Source organism: Homo sapiens, chromosome 8, assembly GCF_000001405.40.
Source record: "Homo sapiens chromosome 8, GRCh38.p14 Primary Assembly".
In the NCBI taxonomy this organism is placed as follows: Eukaryota; Metazoa; Chordata; class Mammalia; order Primates; family Hominidae; genus Homo; species Homo sapiens.
The window spans coordinates 99860261-99877636 of NC_000008.11; the positions used below are offsets into that span (position 1 = coordinate 99860261).

At 45.6% G+C, this 17376-nt stretch overlaps 1 protein-coding gene across 2 annotated transcripts in view, besides 2 other annotated features; it reads left to right on the top strand.

Moving 5' to 3' along the window:
- VPS13B (vacuolar protein sorting 13 homolog B) overlaps positions 1-17320 on the top strand; it is an 864307-nt gene extending 846987 nt beyond the window's left edge. For both annotated transcript variants that reach the window (NM_152564.5, NM_017890.5), the window contains exons 58-62: positions 1516-1686; positions 8029-8205; positions 10525-10627; positions 11188-11437; positions 15158-17320. In NM_152564.5, coding sequence (NP_689777.3) covers positions 1516-1686; positions 8029-8205; positions 10525-10627; positions 11188-11437; positions 15158-15406 — 950 coding nt within the window. In that variant the 3' untranslated portion in view covers positions 15407-17320. The remainder of the gene's footprint in view (positions 1-1515; positions 1687-8028; positions 8206-10524; positions 10628-11187; positions 11438-15157) is intronic.
- Positions 8283-8790: an enhancer, noted in NCBI's record as "H3K4me1 hESC enhancer chr8:100880771-100881278 (GRCh37/hg19 assembly coordinates)". NCBI's record gives its function as "activates a minimal SCP1, AML or CMV promoter by ChIP-STARR-seq in primed H9 embryonic stem cells {active_cell/tissue: H9 hESC(primed)}" and the evidence as "EXISTENCE:reporter gene assay evidence [ECO:0000049][PMID:30033119]".
- Positions 11136-11636: an enhancer, noted in NCBI's record as "H3K4me1 hESC enhancer chr8:100883624-100884124 (GRCh37/hg19 assembly coordinates)". NCBI's record gives its function as "activates a minimal SCP1, AML or CMV promoter by ChIP-STARR-seq in naive H9 embryonic stem cells {active_cell/tissue: H9 hESC(naive)}" and the evidence as "EXISTENCE:reporter gene assay evidence [ECO:0000049][PMID:30033119]".

Here is a 17376-nt window from a genome sequence, read left to right on the forward strand (position 1 = left end):
CGGGTGAGGGACTGTGGGTGGGAGGGCTGGCAAGAGAACAGCCAGAGTCATAAAAACAAATTCCACGGACAATGAAAAGGACACTCCCCCAGGCCTCAAATCATCTGGGAGGACTGGGGGCTGAGCTGCAGAAACTCACCCCATGAGTCACTGGCAGACTGCTCACTCTTGACACTGGAATCTCTGTGGTTCTGTTGTTTTTATGTTAAAATAAGACAACTAACACCTGCTAAATTGAACCTCAGTGGTATTTTCAGCCTACTGACTCACTGAATGTTTTTTACACTTGTTCTTTTCTTCTCTTAGCAAAATCTTTTTGGTTTGTTGGCATCCCTATGTGTGTGCGCACACAGATATTTTTCTTTTCAGATTACTGGTAAAGATGCAGCTGCAAAAACGACATTGAGCATTTCTTCCTGAAACTGGACCTGCAATAACAGATGAGCTAGTTTGTTAGTGTCCAGATCTGTCCATGAAAGTCGCTCAGTTTCGCTCACTAAGATGTGTGCAGACCTGCTAGAGGAATTGTGGCTATTGTGAGCAAATGCTGAAATAGCCCTTCTTAGGAAAACCAGACAGATTCACGGCTCTCACATGATTTACTCCCTTTATTCCCCTCACTGGTTTTTCAGTTAACATCCTGAATATCAAAATTGCACATATTCTCCATGGCACAATAATTACATCCTCAGAATGGCAAATGATAAGGTTTAGTATCTCCCCCTTTGTTATGACTGAAGTTATATGGAGGGAATAAAATTTATTCCTAAAGCTGAAGTATTTCTTTATAATCTTTCTAAAACTTAGCAACATAACTTTACCCTTTAAAATCACAGCAGGCAGATTTTAACCTTCAAAATTGGGCCTCAGTGAAGGCATCAATACTGTTTTAACCAAACCTTGACAAATTAAATTATAGTGAAGGATAGTTTCATATGAAACTCTAGGCTGTGTTCTGCACCTGCGATTCTTACCCTTTGAAGAGTGTCATCACCCCTGTGGGCAAGTGTTCCTCTTTACCTCATTTTCTTTTTCATTTTATTGTATCTTATCTTATTTGAGACAAGGTCTCACTCTGCCACTCAGGCTGGAGTGCAGTGGTGCAATTGCAGCTCACTGCAGCCTTGACGTCCTGGGCTTAGGCGATCCTCCCACCTCAGCCCCCTGAGTAGCTGAGACTACAGGTGTGCACCACCACACCCAGCTAATTTTTTAACTTTTCATAGAGACAGGGTTTTGCCATGTTGCCCAGGCTGGTCTCGAACTGCTAGGCTCAAGCAATCCTCCTGCGCTGGCCTCCCACAGTGCTGGGATTACAGGCGTGAGCCACCACCCCAGTTGTTTACCTCTTTTCTTAAGGCTCTTTCTTCAAATTGCCTGAGAGGGAGCCACCATCACTTGCCACTGGGCATGTCCAGGAGGGGCCACAGGTGCTCCCGCTGCCTCTGAAACTACTGCCTTGGGGTCCATCATGTATGCGACAAGGAGGCTAACCCCATGCTCTTGTTCCCTCAGGTACCCTCACATCCATCACCAACCTCGCCACAAGCCTGGCCCGGAACATGGACCGGCTCTCACTGGATGAGGAGCACTACAACCGGCAGGAGGAGTGGCGGCGGCAGCTCCCCGAGAGCCTGGGCGAGGGGCTTCGACAGGGCCTGTCCCGGCTGGGCATCAGCCTGCTTGGTAAGGGGCTGCGGGGCCTCCCACCTGTCTGTACTCCAGCAGGCTGAGATGCAGGGTCTCCCAGGACTGGGCAACTTCGCCTTCTGCCTGGGAATGACCAGGAAATGCTCAGAGAAGGTAAGGCACTTGCTCTGAGTTCTACAGTGCGTCCCGCCGGGGGCTCACCTGCACAGCCGCACATGCAGCGCCTGTGTTTGCTTTGTGCATGAAATGTATCTTGGGCCTCACTGAAGTTCTTAAAAGAAATCCTAATTTGATAGGACCTGCTCTAAGCATAGTGGTGTCTGCAAGAGGACAGCAGCATCCAGCTGTTGGCTTTCTGAAGAACGTGATGGGCAACGCTTCCGAAGCACTGGCTCCCTCACTCCCACACATGCTGAGCCGCTTCTTTTGTTTGAGAAACACTAGAGCAACATGCAAATGTCACGTAAACTTCAGTGAGGAGCCCACTTTGTCCTTTACTTTTTTGAGATCAGCCTGATTCAGAGTAATTATTGTTTGTAGAGCAGCCAGATGGTATAGTTAGAGGTGAAGATTGCTCTGCATATTTCAAAATATTACAAATGTTTGAAAATAAGTTGCTTTAAAAAATTTATGAAAAGGAAGCTTCAGAGCTAAAAGTTTGCAGGGCAGGATTTTCAAGGATTTTTTTGTTTATTTGTTTGCAAAAGAATTTAAAACTGTATTGCTTGGCAATGTGCCTTCCGCGCATCTGAGGAAGTGTGTGCCTCCCAGAGATCAAAGTGACCCAAAGCAGTGCAGAGCAAAGGGTAGAAAAGATGAGTTTGAAAGGACTCGCCCTCTCTCTGATCTTCAGTTCTCTACAGAACTCCTAGATTGGCAACTGCAGCTAGCTGAGGCTCTGGGAGGAAGTGGTAAAATGGTACAAGTTCAGGTTAAGTTGCTGGAAATTATATAGGTAAAAACATTCAGTGGTGTGGGGCACTGTCATTTGATAATATGTGGAAACTGGGAAGCTGGTGACCTGTGGTAAACAAGCTGGGTAAGGGAGCAACCTTCTTGCTTAACTCAGTAACCCAAAGGTGATGGTGACTCCTTTGGGGAAGGTGGTGTGGCAGTGGACCCTGCCCTCAGAAGCCCCAGACCTTGGGCTAGGGTGTTCAAGTCCTTTCTTTGTGACCTCAGGCAAGTTCTCCTCTGAACCTGAGTTTCTCTTTTGTATATTGGGCCTGGTGATACCATTGTTAGAAGTAACAGTGGGTAGTTATATGGCAGCCACCATGCTCATGTTTGGTAAACAGAACCTATCATTATCATAGTATGGTAGCAAATGAACTGTAAGAGTTGCCTGGTTTCCAAGAGTGCCTCAGCAAAAAGAAATATTTGAGCAACGGCAGTAATATTTTCACTTAATCCAATGGATTAAGTGGCTGTAACCAGAGGAAGTGACAATGAGGTTATATTGAGGATCTCAAGGTCATTGTTTTGCAATTCGGGACCTGTTGATGCTATTAATTGGAGACTTAAGTACCACTACTCTGCTCCACCCCAGCCCTTATAGGAGCTTCTAGGCAAAGAGAGAGAGAGAGACCCACCCCTGGGCTGGCTGGTGTGTGGCTGTCTCCACCCCAACCCCCGACTCCCTTCCTGCCCGAGGGTTCCAGTCTCTTCCCAGTCAGAGAAACCCCAGCCAATGCTCCGTTTTCAGTGTGTAAGATTGTACCTGATGGGAAAAATCAGTTGTGTGAGGAGTCACAAATCAGCCCTGATGAGGTCATCTTTCTGGGCGTGGGTCCTGTTGACCGGGTAAGTCATAATGCTCTGATCTTTGGTGTAGTCATTGTGTCTTGCATATCCTTATCCATGTGAGGGAATTCATTTTTGGAAACTGCAGTGGGCTCATGGGGTCTTTCTGCATATCTGGTAATTTCCAGAAGATTATTAATTCTTGGGGTAACATAAGCCTCCTCTGTAGATGCTGGCTGCACCTGCCAACACTGGCCAGCCCCAGTCCCAGCCCAGCTCACACCCTGAGCAGTGTGTCCATGTCTTGACTCTGCAGAGTTCACAGTGGGCATCTCAAGCTTGGCTCAAACCAGCTTCCTTTCCTGTAAGACTTCAAGGACTTCCTTTGTTTCATGTACTCTTTGGGTTATCTCAAAATGTCTGGTCCTAGAACTACCAGGTGTGTGGCAAGAAGAACAAAGAGCGGAGTACAGCAAACTGAAATCTCCTCACTTTGGAAAGTTATAGATTGGCCACCATTTAATTCTTCCCCAGAAATGGTGTTTGAAATTGCCACATACAATGCAGTGCCTAATTGAAGTTAGAGCCATTATCACATAATAATTTGAAATCCAGGCCGGGTACATGGCTCACACTTGTAATCCTAGCACTTTGGGAAGCCAAAGCAAGTGGATTGCTTGAGCCCAGGAGTTCGAGATCAGCTTGGGCAATGTGGCAAAACCCCATCTCTACAAAAATAAAATGAAATACAAAAATTAGCCAGGCATGGTGGCACATCCCTGTGGGCCCAGCTACTCAGGAGGCTGAGGTGGATCACTTGAGCCCAGGAGGTCAAGGCTGCAGTGAGCTGAGATTACACCACTGCACTCCAGCCTGGTGGACAGAGTGAGACCTTGTCTCAAAATAATAATAGTAATAATAATAGTTTTAAACCCATGCCAGTGAAATAGATATTCTAGTTGCTCAGTTTCTTCAATAAAAAGACAGAAACGTTAAGGACCCAGTTAATAAAAATATATTAAAGGAAAAGTTTAGAGTTGGCAAAGCGTTTTCAAAGGTGTCATCTTATTTGATCTTCACAACCCTTCACAACTTCATAACCCTTCATAGCTTCACAACTTTGGATGAGGTAAAGCGACTTAGCCAGGTCAAACCTCCAGCAAGGACAGGAGCCTGGGCCTTTCCACCATGTCGCCTACCCCTGTGGGGCTCCAGGCCTGGAAACAATCAGGATGTGGGGAGACTGAACAATTGCAAGTTCCAGTGTAGGAAAAACACATTTCCCCCAAATGTTTACGGGTTCGGCGGGCCTTCTTGACTCTGCTTCACCCTCATGGGGACACTATGGAGCATTATGAGGCCCTTGAAAATTAAAGCAAGTCTGCAGCTCCATGCCCAGCCGCACTGCCCCAGGTCAGCAGGGAAAAGTGTCTGCTGGCTGAGAGATGCTGCCGAGGCCTTTGGATGAGCTCCATGACAGTTTTCCAAGAGCAACGGCTTTTGGAAAAACTCCGTTTAGCCTGCAGTATTGGCATCAGCCTTGCCCACATTTACCAGATCTGTTCCCCAACACCCTCACTTTCTACTACACTCTGGAGCCTGCACTGAGAAAGGACGTGCAGCTCCGCATCACAGCTGCATTCTGCGTTTCCTCCCAAACCTGATGCCTTCTCATGAACACCAAAGCTAGGATGTCAAGAATTGCTTCTCTGACCCCCACTTCTTTTGGGATGCTTCCTGGTTTGTGATGCGCTGCTGGATTCCCCAGAGACCACCTCCTCTCTCTTCATGGGCACTCTTGGCTATGCCATCTGGAATCCCAACAAAACAGGCCTCCGCCAGGTGAAATCAGAAAAGTCCCCTCCGAGGGAGTGACTCAAGAGTTGCACATCCCAAGAGACAGCCCTTAAGAGTCATCCCTCCAATACCACCATCTGCCATTAGCAGACTGGTGTGTATTATAGTCAGTGCGGAATTTAGGAATGACTGGCAAAGTGCTTCCTTGTTGGTTTGCTCGTCTGTTCTGGTCAAAAAAAAGAAGCGCTGAGCTGGAATGTGCAGTACACTCTATGGGTCTCGTTACTTTCTGGAAGGGCGAGCTGTGGCGTGGTATCCCATTTTATGCCTGTCCTTCTGATAGTGTGACAAAAAATTGCCAGAAACAAAATTACACCACATGGTAAAGGCAGCATCAAAACAGACACATCACCAGGAACTTCCATAGCCCAGTGACCAAGTAGTTTCTGCCCAAGGCCTAGGAGCAAGTCACAGAAAGAGGTAAGGGAAGGCCTGGTGGTTTCCTGCTCCACAATGAAGGCTTTCCTCCTCCTGCGCCTTCCAAGGCACAACAGGCAATAGCTCCTGTGTCCTGCGGGGTGCAGCACTCACTCAGTCCTGGAAACCCCTCCCAGTCACGCTCTTCTCTCTTCACTGGCTTCATCAGATCACAGCCATCTCCATGTGGTCGCCCACCCCACGGGCCTGAGGCCAGCAGACAAGTCTTGGGATCAGTTTCCACTCCTGAAAGCCTTCGAGCAGAGTTTAAGTCTATGACAGTCCATAATTTACCAGTTGTGGGATTTAGCTGGATATACTTCAGAGGAGAGCCATTCCAGGCTCTCAGAGAGGCTGCCTCTCTCAAAGCAGGGCTGCAGGGACCATGAAGTGGCTGCTGGTCTCTTAGCCTCTCTGTTCTCCAGCTTGTGAGCACAGAGGTAGATAAGGCACCTGGTGGCTGGTGAGGTGTTGGTGTGTGTGACAGGCCAGCTTTCCCCCTCAAAGGTCTGCTGCTGAGCCCAGGGCAGGTGGTTCCACAGCTCCCTCTCTGACTCTCAGAATCTAACACCTTGTCATGGGACTCAGGCTTTCCACTTTTGGGGGGCTGCCCAAATAGTCTTATCTGTCAAAGCCACAGTAACCGAAGCCTTCACTGTGGCCAGAGAAAACGGAAGAGCAGAACAGAGGGGGCCTCACCTGATACCTGCATGTGCTGGAGCAGGTGGCTGTCAGCACCCTGTGCGGGTGACCGCAGCTGGCCCAGGCCCCACTCTTTGATTTGATGCTGTTCACTTTGATAATCTGCTGAGGTGACTGGAAGAGAAGACCCAGGGTTCCTGCCTGTCCCTCAGTGTGGCCACTATGACTTCTGATCTTCCAAATGGAGTGGAGCATCAACGGCAAATGAGGGGTGCTCCCAGCTGAGCGCCAGGCCTGACTGTCTGTGGTACTAAAAGAGTGACCCTCACTCTTGATAGCTGGGGTGGCCTGGGCCTGCCGGGAGCAGCTTCCTCTGCTCACTCTTGGCATTTCTGTAGAAGGTTTGGCAGCACGACTCTAGGCTGGGAAACAGGTCTGTTGCCTCAGGTCATTCTGAATCTGTCAATGCATAAACTTAAATGTCTCTGTCAAAACCTAGAGGAAAGGAGTCCATGAAGAGCATTCCCTTTACAATTGACGTGATATGCACTAAAATTTCTACCAGGGGCCAGAGCATTTTCATCACTCCTAGCAGTTTTGAATTGAAAACAGAGAATTCTGTCAAGAATTGTAAAGAAATTTTCCCTTCTTTCTGAGATAGGGAGCCCTCCACTCCATCACGAAAAAAAAATCAGAATGGTAAGACTTTTCTAGCTCTCACTGTTGGCCTCTCAAAGCAGGAGTAGCAAAGGGGCCGTATCCACAGGACTGCCTGAGGGGCTCCTTTCATCTGTAGCTGCCTCAGGCTCAGTGCAGGAGATGGATGCCCTGTGCTACAGCTGTGGGAGCAGAGCTCCAAGGGGTTTTGGTCGCTATTCTAAGTGAGGAGTAAGTGGCCAAACCTCAATTCCAGTGAGAGAGAAAGGTTTTCCAAGATTGGCAAAGAGGAAGAGCCTGTTTTATAAATGGGATAAGCGAGTATCTTGGTGGTTAAGAGCTATGCTGTGACTCAAACTCTCTGTACACTTAACAGCTGTGTGACCTTGGGAAAAAACTCCTTAACCTCTGTGCCTCAGTGTCCGTATTTGGATAAAAACAATGTATGACTCCTAGGAATATGAGGATCAAATGATCTCATACAAATAAAGCTCTTAGCACAGTCCCCAGACCTAGTAAGCATTCAAGATAGATTACCTATAATCCAAATAATAATTACTATATCAATAATTACTCTTAAGTATTAATACTACTAAATTATGACTGTTATCATTATTATCAAAAGTGGAGAGTTAGAAAGGGGCTAACCCCTTCCAGTTTTTCATCCTCATGAATCAGTGCAAATGTATTGGGCTGAACAGTCTTTCTCTGCTCCTGAGGAACTGTTAGCTCCTCTCTCTCAACTTTGTTGCCTGACTTCTGAGGAAAGATGTATGGATGACACTCTGAATAGCCTGACAGGTTTGTTAAATTCTGAACTAAACTTCACAGATCCTGACTGTGTGGACCAAACTCCGTCTGAACATTGTATTTTGATGACGATAATAAATGTCTACTGCCCTTGGTGTACTTAGATAACTGGTAAACAAATGGGTAGTAAAGACCTTTATAATGAGGGTGGGGACTCATTTTCAATCCAGATAAAACTGTGTTCCAGATGGAGCCTTTCATTTTCCGAGGATTTTAAGCCTCTGTCCTTACTGAGGGCTTTTGTTATTCCAGGTGCAATTGCTGGTATAGTTGATCAGCCGATGCAGAACTTCCAGAAAACATCTGAGGCACAGGCTTCAGCAGGACACAAGGCCAAGGGTGTCATCTCGGGTGTGGGGAAAGGAATCATGGGGGTGTTCACAAAGCCCATCGGAGGAGCTGCTGAGCTGGTGTCACAGACTGGCTATGGTAAGTCGGTGGAAAACCCATCAGGCCAACCCAGACGTTACTGATTTGCATGCTTATACCAAGGGTTCCCTAAGATAGTGTAACCTTTCACATGGCAGACAGTGGCTATCTTTCTTACCTCTCTATGCTTATTTACACAGAGTAGAATTTTACTACTAATAATAAAACCATAGAATCAGGAAACCAGTTACTAGTTTCAGTCTATATGTCGTAGAATCTTTTTACAGTACACTTGATAGACTGTAACGAAAAGTAACCAGTTTAGAGGTTGAGGGCAGAATGGAGAATACAGCAGAGAAAAGAATTAAGACTTTTTCCTATGATAAATGTGGAAGGAGAGAGAGGCTGTGGGAAGATAACTCTAAGAAGCAGTAGAGAATGAGACAGAGTGTGGATGTGCACATGGGTCTTTGGGTGTGGGTGGCCTTCTCACCCACAGAGGACATCCTGCCCCTCGCAGCCAGGCTGGGCAGAAACAAAGGGTCTGCAACCAGAAGCCCTTTCACAAGGCAGACAGCTGGGAAGTGCGTGGCGCATGGCAGTACCTGCACTTGGATGGGGCGTGCCGGGGCCTCTCCCCGTGCAGCCGCATGCACACACGAGTAATGGGTGCCTGTGAAAGGAAGCACCTCCTCCCAGGCTTATTTTCTGTGTTCTTGGCAGAGCACATTCAAGTGACTTTCCATAAACCTGTGGCTGGAACTGTTACCATTTTACCTAAAATTGGTGTCATCATTTTGGTAATGAAGCAGGTTGTCTAGCTAGTATCACAAACGACAGAAGCGCCCTCCCGTTTGTCAGACATGTGAGCACACTGTGTCTGCATCCGCATCTGGCCATAAAGCCCATGGGATGTGTTTCTAGGGAGGCATCCTGCTCCTCAGCAGGCCTGACAAGAGGCAGCCAGATCGGGGCATAAAAACAAACAGCGTCTGAAAGGAAGGGAGTGGAGATGAATGAGTGCCCACACTTCAGGCAGCCATCCGGAGAGCATCCTTAAGAGACCACACAGACGCCAGCATGTGTTCCTCTTCGCTTTCCCCTCCTCGCCCGCCTCATTTCCCTCTCCTTCTGTGAATGACATGTTCACTCACAGGGAAACTGTCAATAAGATGTGCTATAACCTATAAGTGAGAAAAGTTACACTCTCCCTTATGATAGGGACTCCAGTGAGGTAAAGTGAAGTCATACTTCATAAATTCTTTTGGTTTTGAAAATGCCATTGTCCCTCACCGTGTTTCCCAGGGCTGAAGAATGCTCCCTTATGTAAGAGGATCTTAGAGCAGAGCTTCACATGGCCGTTTTGGTTTCCATCACTCTTGTAAAACTTTTATTACCGAACTGAAGGTTTTAAAACCACTAACTCTTAGTCTAATGACTATGCGTCGTTTGTAAACATTTACAAGCCCTCAGAAAGCACACATGCTGTACCATCTTTGGTGCTGGAGAGTCTATGTAAAGGCCTATGTGGCTGCTGCTGGGTGCCCTCATTTGGTGCTGGCACCAGGGAGAGCATGTCATAAACCAGGGGCCCCAAGCGTGCTCATAAATGTATATGGATTCGTGTTTAACAGCCGGATTAAGTCGCTTAGCATTTAAGTAGTGTATCTAGGCAAAGGGTGTGCCTTTGTATATATCTGTGTGTTTTTTATTTTTTGACTAGCCTTAGCACAGATACAGAAGTATTAAGGAAGTTAACTAACAATCTAGACTTTTTTTTTTAGACACAGGGTTTTGCTGTCACCCAGGCTGACATTCAGTGACACAATCATAGCTCACTGCAGCCTCCAACTCCTGGGCTCAAGTGATCCTCCCACCTCAGCCTCTGGAGTAGCTAGGACTACAGGCATGCACCACTATTTATTTTTTGTAGAGATGGGGGTCTCACTTTGTTTCCCAGGCTGGTCTCTAACTCTGACTCAAGCAATCCTCCCACCTTGATTTGACCTCCCAAAGTTCTAGGATTACATGCATGAGCCACCACACCAGACCTATCTAGACTTTTTTAACACATCAATTAAAATGATGTCTAGGCTATTGTTCATGACCAGCTACTTTCGGTGTTTTTGCTTCCTCTAATTGCTAGTCTATGCTTGGACTGTGTAACACATTCATATTTTAGTTTGTTACTAATGCAAGATCACCAAGGTTAAGAGCATTGTAATGTTTAATGATTATCTATACGCTTGCTTCCAAAGATGTGACATCATTTTGGATCTGTAACATTTTATGGATGGCTCTGAACAGATGACATCATTGCAGCATGAAACTGTTTTCCAGAAAACAAGTAGTAAAACTCCCTTACTTCTCTTACCACAGGTATTTTACATGGAGCTGGACTTTCTCAGCTTCCCAAACAGCGCCATCAGCCAAGTGATCTACATGCTGACCAGGCTCCAAACAGCCATGTCAAATATGTCTGGTAAAATTATTGAGATACGTGCTCAACTTTACATCCATATTGTATGTTAATAGCTCCTGGCTTGCTCTCAAGCTAATGGGCCATGCTTCCAGGGAGCCCAGGAGTAGCCATTGTTGGCACTGGCATCTCAGGCAGCACAAGAGCACTGTAGAGGGACAGGAAGAGGCTGCTGTTGCCAGGTTTGGGGCTGGCTGCACAACTCCTCTGTTCCGTACCTAACCACTCAAGGAAGGTCATACATTGGCAGAGAAACCCAGTCTTGCTAGAGGGCCTGAGATTCCCTGTGGAACCAGCACTCTAATTAGAGGTGCTATTTCTAATGGGGAGAAAAGGAGCTAATAAGCAAAACCAAGGGAAATCTTTGTTCCCAGGAGGAAGCAGGTTCTGTTAATCAGAATCAGTCTGAGAACTGACAATTACATTTCAAGCTAAAATGGGTAACTGGATTGGTGAGGGCCCTTTGCCCTTGTGGAGGTTGCCCCATTGGTAAATAATGAGCACTGATAAGTGACCATCTTTTCACAGCTGGCCCCTGGCCTCACTTTTCTCCTTTTAAACAGGAAAATGCTTCAGTCTCTGGGCAGACCAGAAGTCCACATGGCCCTGGACGTGGTTCTGGTGAGGGGCTCAGGCCAGGAGCATGAAGGGTGCTTGCTGCTGACATCAGAAGTGCTCTTCGTGGTGAGTGTCAGTGAGGACACACAGCAGCAGGCCTTCCCCGTCACAGAAATCGACTGTGCACAGGACAGCAAGCAGAACAACTTACTCACAGTGCAGCTCAAGCAGCCAAGAGTGGCCTGTGATGTGGAGGTACGTTTCAGAAAACAGGGCAACCAAGACTAGCTGGCCAGGGAGGTTGAGGAGCAGGCTGGTCACTGGTACCTAGGCATTTCTGAGCTGCAGCCTCTGGAGTGGCTGCTGGAGACCAAGGAGAGCTGCTACCCAGAGGAGGAAGTGTAGAGGCCGGAGGGCCGCTGCGAAAGGGCACTGGGAAGCCCCCATCCAGATATGCACATAAGCCCTGTATAGGAGAACCCAGCAGGCGGCCAGCAGGACTCAAGGTCTAAAGCTAAGTAACCAAGCCAATTGAACAAGGCTGATCTGGCTTGGCCGTCATGGGGCTGGGGTGCTCGATGGACAGGAAAATGGAGTTACAAAACGAGTGGGTTGGTTCAGGAAGGGCCAGGATTGGGGCAGCAATTCCACGCAACTGCTCCACAAAGGAGGTCCCCTGGTCTGAAAGCCTAAAGTCAGGTCCTTGGCTGCCTGAGGCCTGCAACTGGCTGCAGGGTGCTGGAGGTCTGTGGGTGCTGGAAAGGACCAATGCAGAAGCAAGGGGCATCATGAAACAAGACTCTCCACTCCCTCCCCTACCCCCAAACCTGGAGACTTCAAGGGTCAACATTTTGTGAAGTGGTCTCTCTCTCAAATCCACTGCTTTGTATTCTGTGGCTGTGTTCTCTTTCCCACAGGATAGTTTCCCACCCCCTGAGTACCACAGAATCCCCCCTGGGGATGATACTTAAGGCTCTTGGGGCAGCTCCATGGCTGGCTCCTGGCCTGCATAAATTAATGTGGAACAGATGCGCAGGCAAGGCATACTGGGTGTCAAGAGTCAAGGGGGAGCCCCAACCAGACAGACCCCAGCTTCCTGTAGCCCAGCCCAGGGTAAAAACAGGTGCACCCACTGGAAAATTGCTCTCTGCCCCTCCTTCCTGGATGATGGCCTGATCCATGAGATCCTAATTATTTACCTAAATAATAGACATCTTTTTCCACACAGCAAGATAGTGGTGGATCAGTGGCAAACTGGAGTCTGCTGGCCCTAACCTGGGGACTGAGTGGCCCCAGCAAAGGACAGCAAACCTACCTCCAATAGGTTCTGCCTGATCCCTCCTTTCATTATTCTCTTCCTGGGATGGGGGCGTGTATCTCCTTCACGCCACTGTTTGGGTAAAATTATCTGAGAAGATGGAAAGCAGCCAACCACAACAACTCTTAAGATTTCTCTAGTTTCTTGGATCATGATCATAGTCAGGCTTTAAGCTAGGGTTTGGCACCAGGACTACATTGCTGCTTCAAGTTGATGACTTTCTGAGAATAAACAGAGGTCAGATGTCCAGGCTGACTTTATTAGATCTGCCAGAATCTTCTGATCAGTTGAGTAAAGCAGCGGTGATTTGGCTATAGGATTTGGCAAGGGATAATATCATTACGATTAAATCTTTAGTCCTTAATGAGAAACCTCCAAGGCCCTGTGACCATCATGATTCCTTAGCTGCTTGGGAAATATTTCAGATCTTAAACTATTAAGACTGCAGATTTCTTTTGCTGTTGAACTGTCTTCAACTGTGATCCTTCTCTTGTATTTTTGTTTGAGGCAGGTACTGTGGAGAATCATCATAGCTGGAAGGAAACAGACCTCAGTTTCCCTAGGGGTTGAGATAGTATCTGGAGTCACCACTCCTAAAAGTTGCTGAGATTATTGGGATTGTGGAATCAGAGAAGCAACACTGAAGCTCTAGATACCATTTTCAGCACTGATTTTCCACTGCTGTCCAGGGCTGAAAGAGGGTTGGGATTAAGGAATGCCTAAAACAGAAGTGGGAAGACATGACTGAGAGCAGGAGCACTGTGCCTGCACAGCCAAGGCCCGGCACTGGCTGGAAGGTAGATGGGCCAGTGTGCCTTCAGCCTCCACATTCTGCTTTCTCTATTCCACTTTCTCTCTCCTGAAGTCATTAATAGGAATAACTGCTGCCTTAATCCTATGTCTATAACCCCAACCTCTCCTACTCACCCCCAAGAAAACTCAAGCTGCAGAGCGTCTTTGAGACTAAACCCTCCCAAGTGCTGTAATCTAGAGTATTTTCAACATGAGTGGGCAGGGGAGGGTGGCCAGCAGCACTGCCTTGTCAGTGAGCTTTCTTGAGCTGTCTGGCTCTTAGTGCATCCCAACATAATCCACAGACATGAGGAAGCCTGTCTGCCGTGAACACTTCCAGTGAAGACTAAAAGTAGTATTTTAAGATCTATAAATGACTTTTCTGGTTTTTAGCTTTTGCCTAGTTCCTTTGAATTTTGGAAGGAATTAATTTGTAGATGACATCATGCAGTACATTTAAATATGGCAGGATTGAGATTTATTTTTTAAGTCAGCATTTGCTTTTCTTGGTTAAATGCAACCAGTTTAGGGGTAATAACTGCTTAATATGCCTGGCACATTATTGAAATCCCTTATGAGTGGCTCAAAATGAGTCAGAAGGTCAATTTAGTCCTTGGCTGGGTTCCTTTCACAACAGGGGTTTTCCTGTGCTGCTGTTCAGGAGGAGCAATTAAAACTTTTTGTGTATTCAAAGCTTTCCAGCTGAATTCTGGCCCCATCAAATGATATCAGAGCTCTGGCTTTTGCCTGGTGGTGCAGAGCTTTCGTCTGTTAGTGAATCTTTGGGGACCGTTTTTCCCCAAGCTTAAAAACACAAGATTCAAACTCTAAGGGATTCCTTACTTATTCTTCTAGCAAGCCTCTTTACTATCTCTCTGCCATCGCACGGACTTTCTCCAGCTTTTAAGACACTTTGATAGCATTGTTACTGGACCACACGCAGAACTAGAAACAAGTCTTTCTTTACCACTTCTTCCAGAGTAGTCTTGCCAATGTTCAGTAGGCAAAAACCACGGAAAGTTTGGTGGCTACCTGAGATTCACAAATCAGTGGCTTACAATTGCAAACTTCCCACTCCACTTGATCTACACACTAGATAGCTAAAGGACTTCAGGGTAGGAAGAATTTATAGCTTCAGCTGCCTTTGATGAGCGCTTTCTCAGAAAATCTCACTGAAGAACCTAGTGTATCTCAGTTCTATTTGTGTTCCACTGAAGATGAGCCAGACTTTTATGAACAATAAATGTACTTTACATCCTCTTTTTTTCCATAAAAATTTCCCCTTCCGCTGCCCAGCTTCTCTATTTTCTCTGGCTTTAAATCCTAGGATTTAGAAAAGCAGAAAATGTTACAGTTCAAAAGGTTTTTTAATGCTCCGTCCAAAGCCACTGGTTTGAAAGAGGTGTTCTCCACTTTAAGACGTTCTATCTGAAGAGGTTTGGGGAGCTAGGCAAACAGAGCTTTTATTTCAGTGCTGAGTTTAATGTTGAATAGATGATTTATGTGGAGGAAAGATTTTTCTCCTTTTTTCTTGGGCTGGCTGCTAAAGAACAATGACAGATGTTTTAATGGTGAGTAGAATGTTATCAAATCGTCAACTTCAAACATGGGAATTTTATGCAACACCAAATGCTTATTCTAAGGAGGCTGTCCTAAGTCTCATGCACAACTTTCAGTTATACTGCTAAAACTGCATTGTTATCGTTGCCATATCTCAGAGGAAAAAAGGAAACATTCTGGATTAATGGCTTTAATAGATGACCTAAAAGGCATAATGTACAAATATATCGAGGCAAAAGAACTAATTTTGTTCTGGAACTCTCGTAAGGGTCTGGCAACTAATCTTTATTATTTTTGGATCCTAGGTAGATGGAGTCCGAGAGAGACTGTCAGAGCAACAGTACAACAGACTGGTGGACTACATCACAAAGACATCTTGTCACCTGGCCCCCAGCTGTTCTTCCATGCAAATACCATGCCCTGTGGTGGCTGCAGAACCTCCCCCCTCCACTGTTAAAACATACCATTACCTGGTTGATCCACATTTTGCTCAGGTCTTCCTTAGTAAATTTACCATGGTGAAAAATAAAGCCCTGAGGAAAGGGTTTCCTTGAGTCCCCTCTGAGGTGTTTATTCCTGCTTGTGTGATTTAGTTTTTGGGTTTCTTTGAGACAGGGTCTCACTGCATTGCCCTTGCTGACCTCAAATTCTGGGGTTCAAGCAATCCTCCCACCTCAACCCACAAGTAGCTACGACTGCAAGCACCTGCCACCATAAAGGGCTGCATTTTGCCACCATAAAGGGCTGCATTTTTTTAAAAAGCCTAGGCAGCTCTAACATCATCTGATATGGACACAAGGCCAACAGTTTCCTTATTTACATCCTTACCTCTAAAAGATACTTCAAAGTGACAAAAACGTGTTCCTTCCCCACTTAGAGACAATGATTAACAGGGCCCTATATGTTCTTACCACATACAGAGGATGCATTTATTTTTGCTCTATGACACTTGCAAAAATCTCTACTGTAATTAATTTGGGTCTATTATTAACTCTCTGTTCCATCATAGAATGTGGCCAGGCCTTACAATGGAGAGCCAGAGTTAAAACTTCAAGTTGCATCTGTTTTTGGGCTGAGTCACCACCTTTGCCTCATGCTCCTTTGTCTGCAAAGGCCTAGGATTCTTTCTTTAAATGAAATGCTTAGGACTTTGTGGCTTGTTACATTTGTCATTTAACTGCAGTGCTATTCTTTGAAAGCTGCTATGTGTATTTTCTCTGAAGTCTGCATTTTACTAAAATTTACAACAGTCTGATGATTGATTGATTACTGTCCAGGTACATTTTAGAAAAAGTGTTCTTCTTCCAGTTTGTTTTACTAAGCAAACTTTGAGTAAATCCTTTGTCCTATATTGAATCCAGTCCCAAAGTGTTCAGGTGAGTTTCTCTAGTTCCATAAACAAAACATACATAGTGGGAACTCCCTGGTATGCCATAGAGCACACAAGAACCCCAATATTAATGCTAACAATTATACCAGTCCATTTTGTTTATTCTGTGGAATTGACTTGACAAAGCATGAAGATATTCCCAGTGTCTGTCTGATAATATTTTGCATCTAAGAATGGGTTTGACTCAAGATCTTGGGTTACCAAGATGTCTTAAATGTTCAGTAAATATCTTTCTTACAGTCCAGTAGCTTAGAGCATGTTTGCTGATTGATATTACATTTAAACTTGGGGCTACAGCTTGTTACCTAGAATTTTGAGATACTAAGAGAATGCAATTTTAAATGCCCACTGGTTTTATTTGTTTTGGAGAGAGGGTCTCATTCTGTCACCCAGGCTAGAGTACAGTGGGAACAGTCATGGCTCACTGCAGCTTAAGCTCACTGCCTGGGCTCAAGTGATCTTACTCCAGCCTCCCAAGCAGCTGGGACTACACCACCACAGGTATGCACCACCATACCTGGCTGATTTTTAAAATTTTTTCTAGAGATGAGGTCTCACTATGTTGCCCAGCTGGTCTCATACTCCTCAGTTCACGCATTCCTCCCACCTCCACCTCCCAAACTGCTGGGATTACAGGTGTGAGCCACCATGCCCAACACCCACTGATCTTTAACTCTCACATGTTGGGCATAAGAAGTCACTATATAATTGTTACTGGAAAGCAAGACTTAACGAACAATTCTGACTATGAAAAATGTCTCTTTCAGTTTGTTCTGTAAATATTTAGAAAAGTGACAGCTGTCAACCTCAGAGTAACTATTTCTAAAAATGTAAATATGTATTAATCCTTGTATCTTTTATGGTAATTTTGCATATTGATATGAATTATATAAAATTGTTTAAAATAAAAGGTGTCCTTGAATTACTGACCACCCATAGATGTCTACTGTTACCAGGTTTTACAATGCAAATTTTCACTAATACCTGGGTTTAATACAGCTCACATCACTGAATGTTACACATGAGTTTAAATGGGTAATATACAGGTTTTGTTATAATAAAGTTACTGATTAAATTAGCTTTGAATAAGTGTCATTTTTTAAAGTTCTCCAGTATCACTTTGCTCGCAATAAA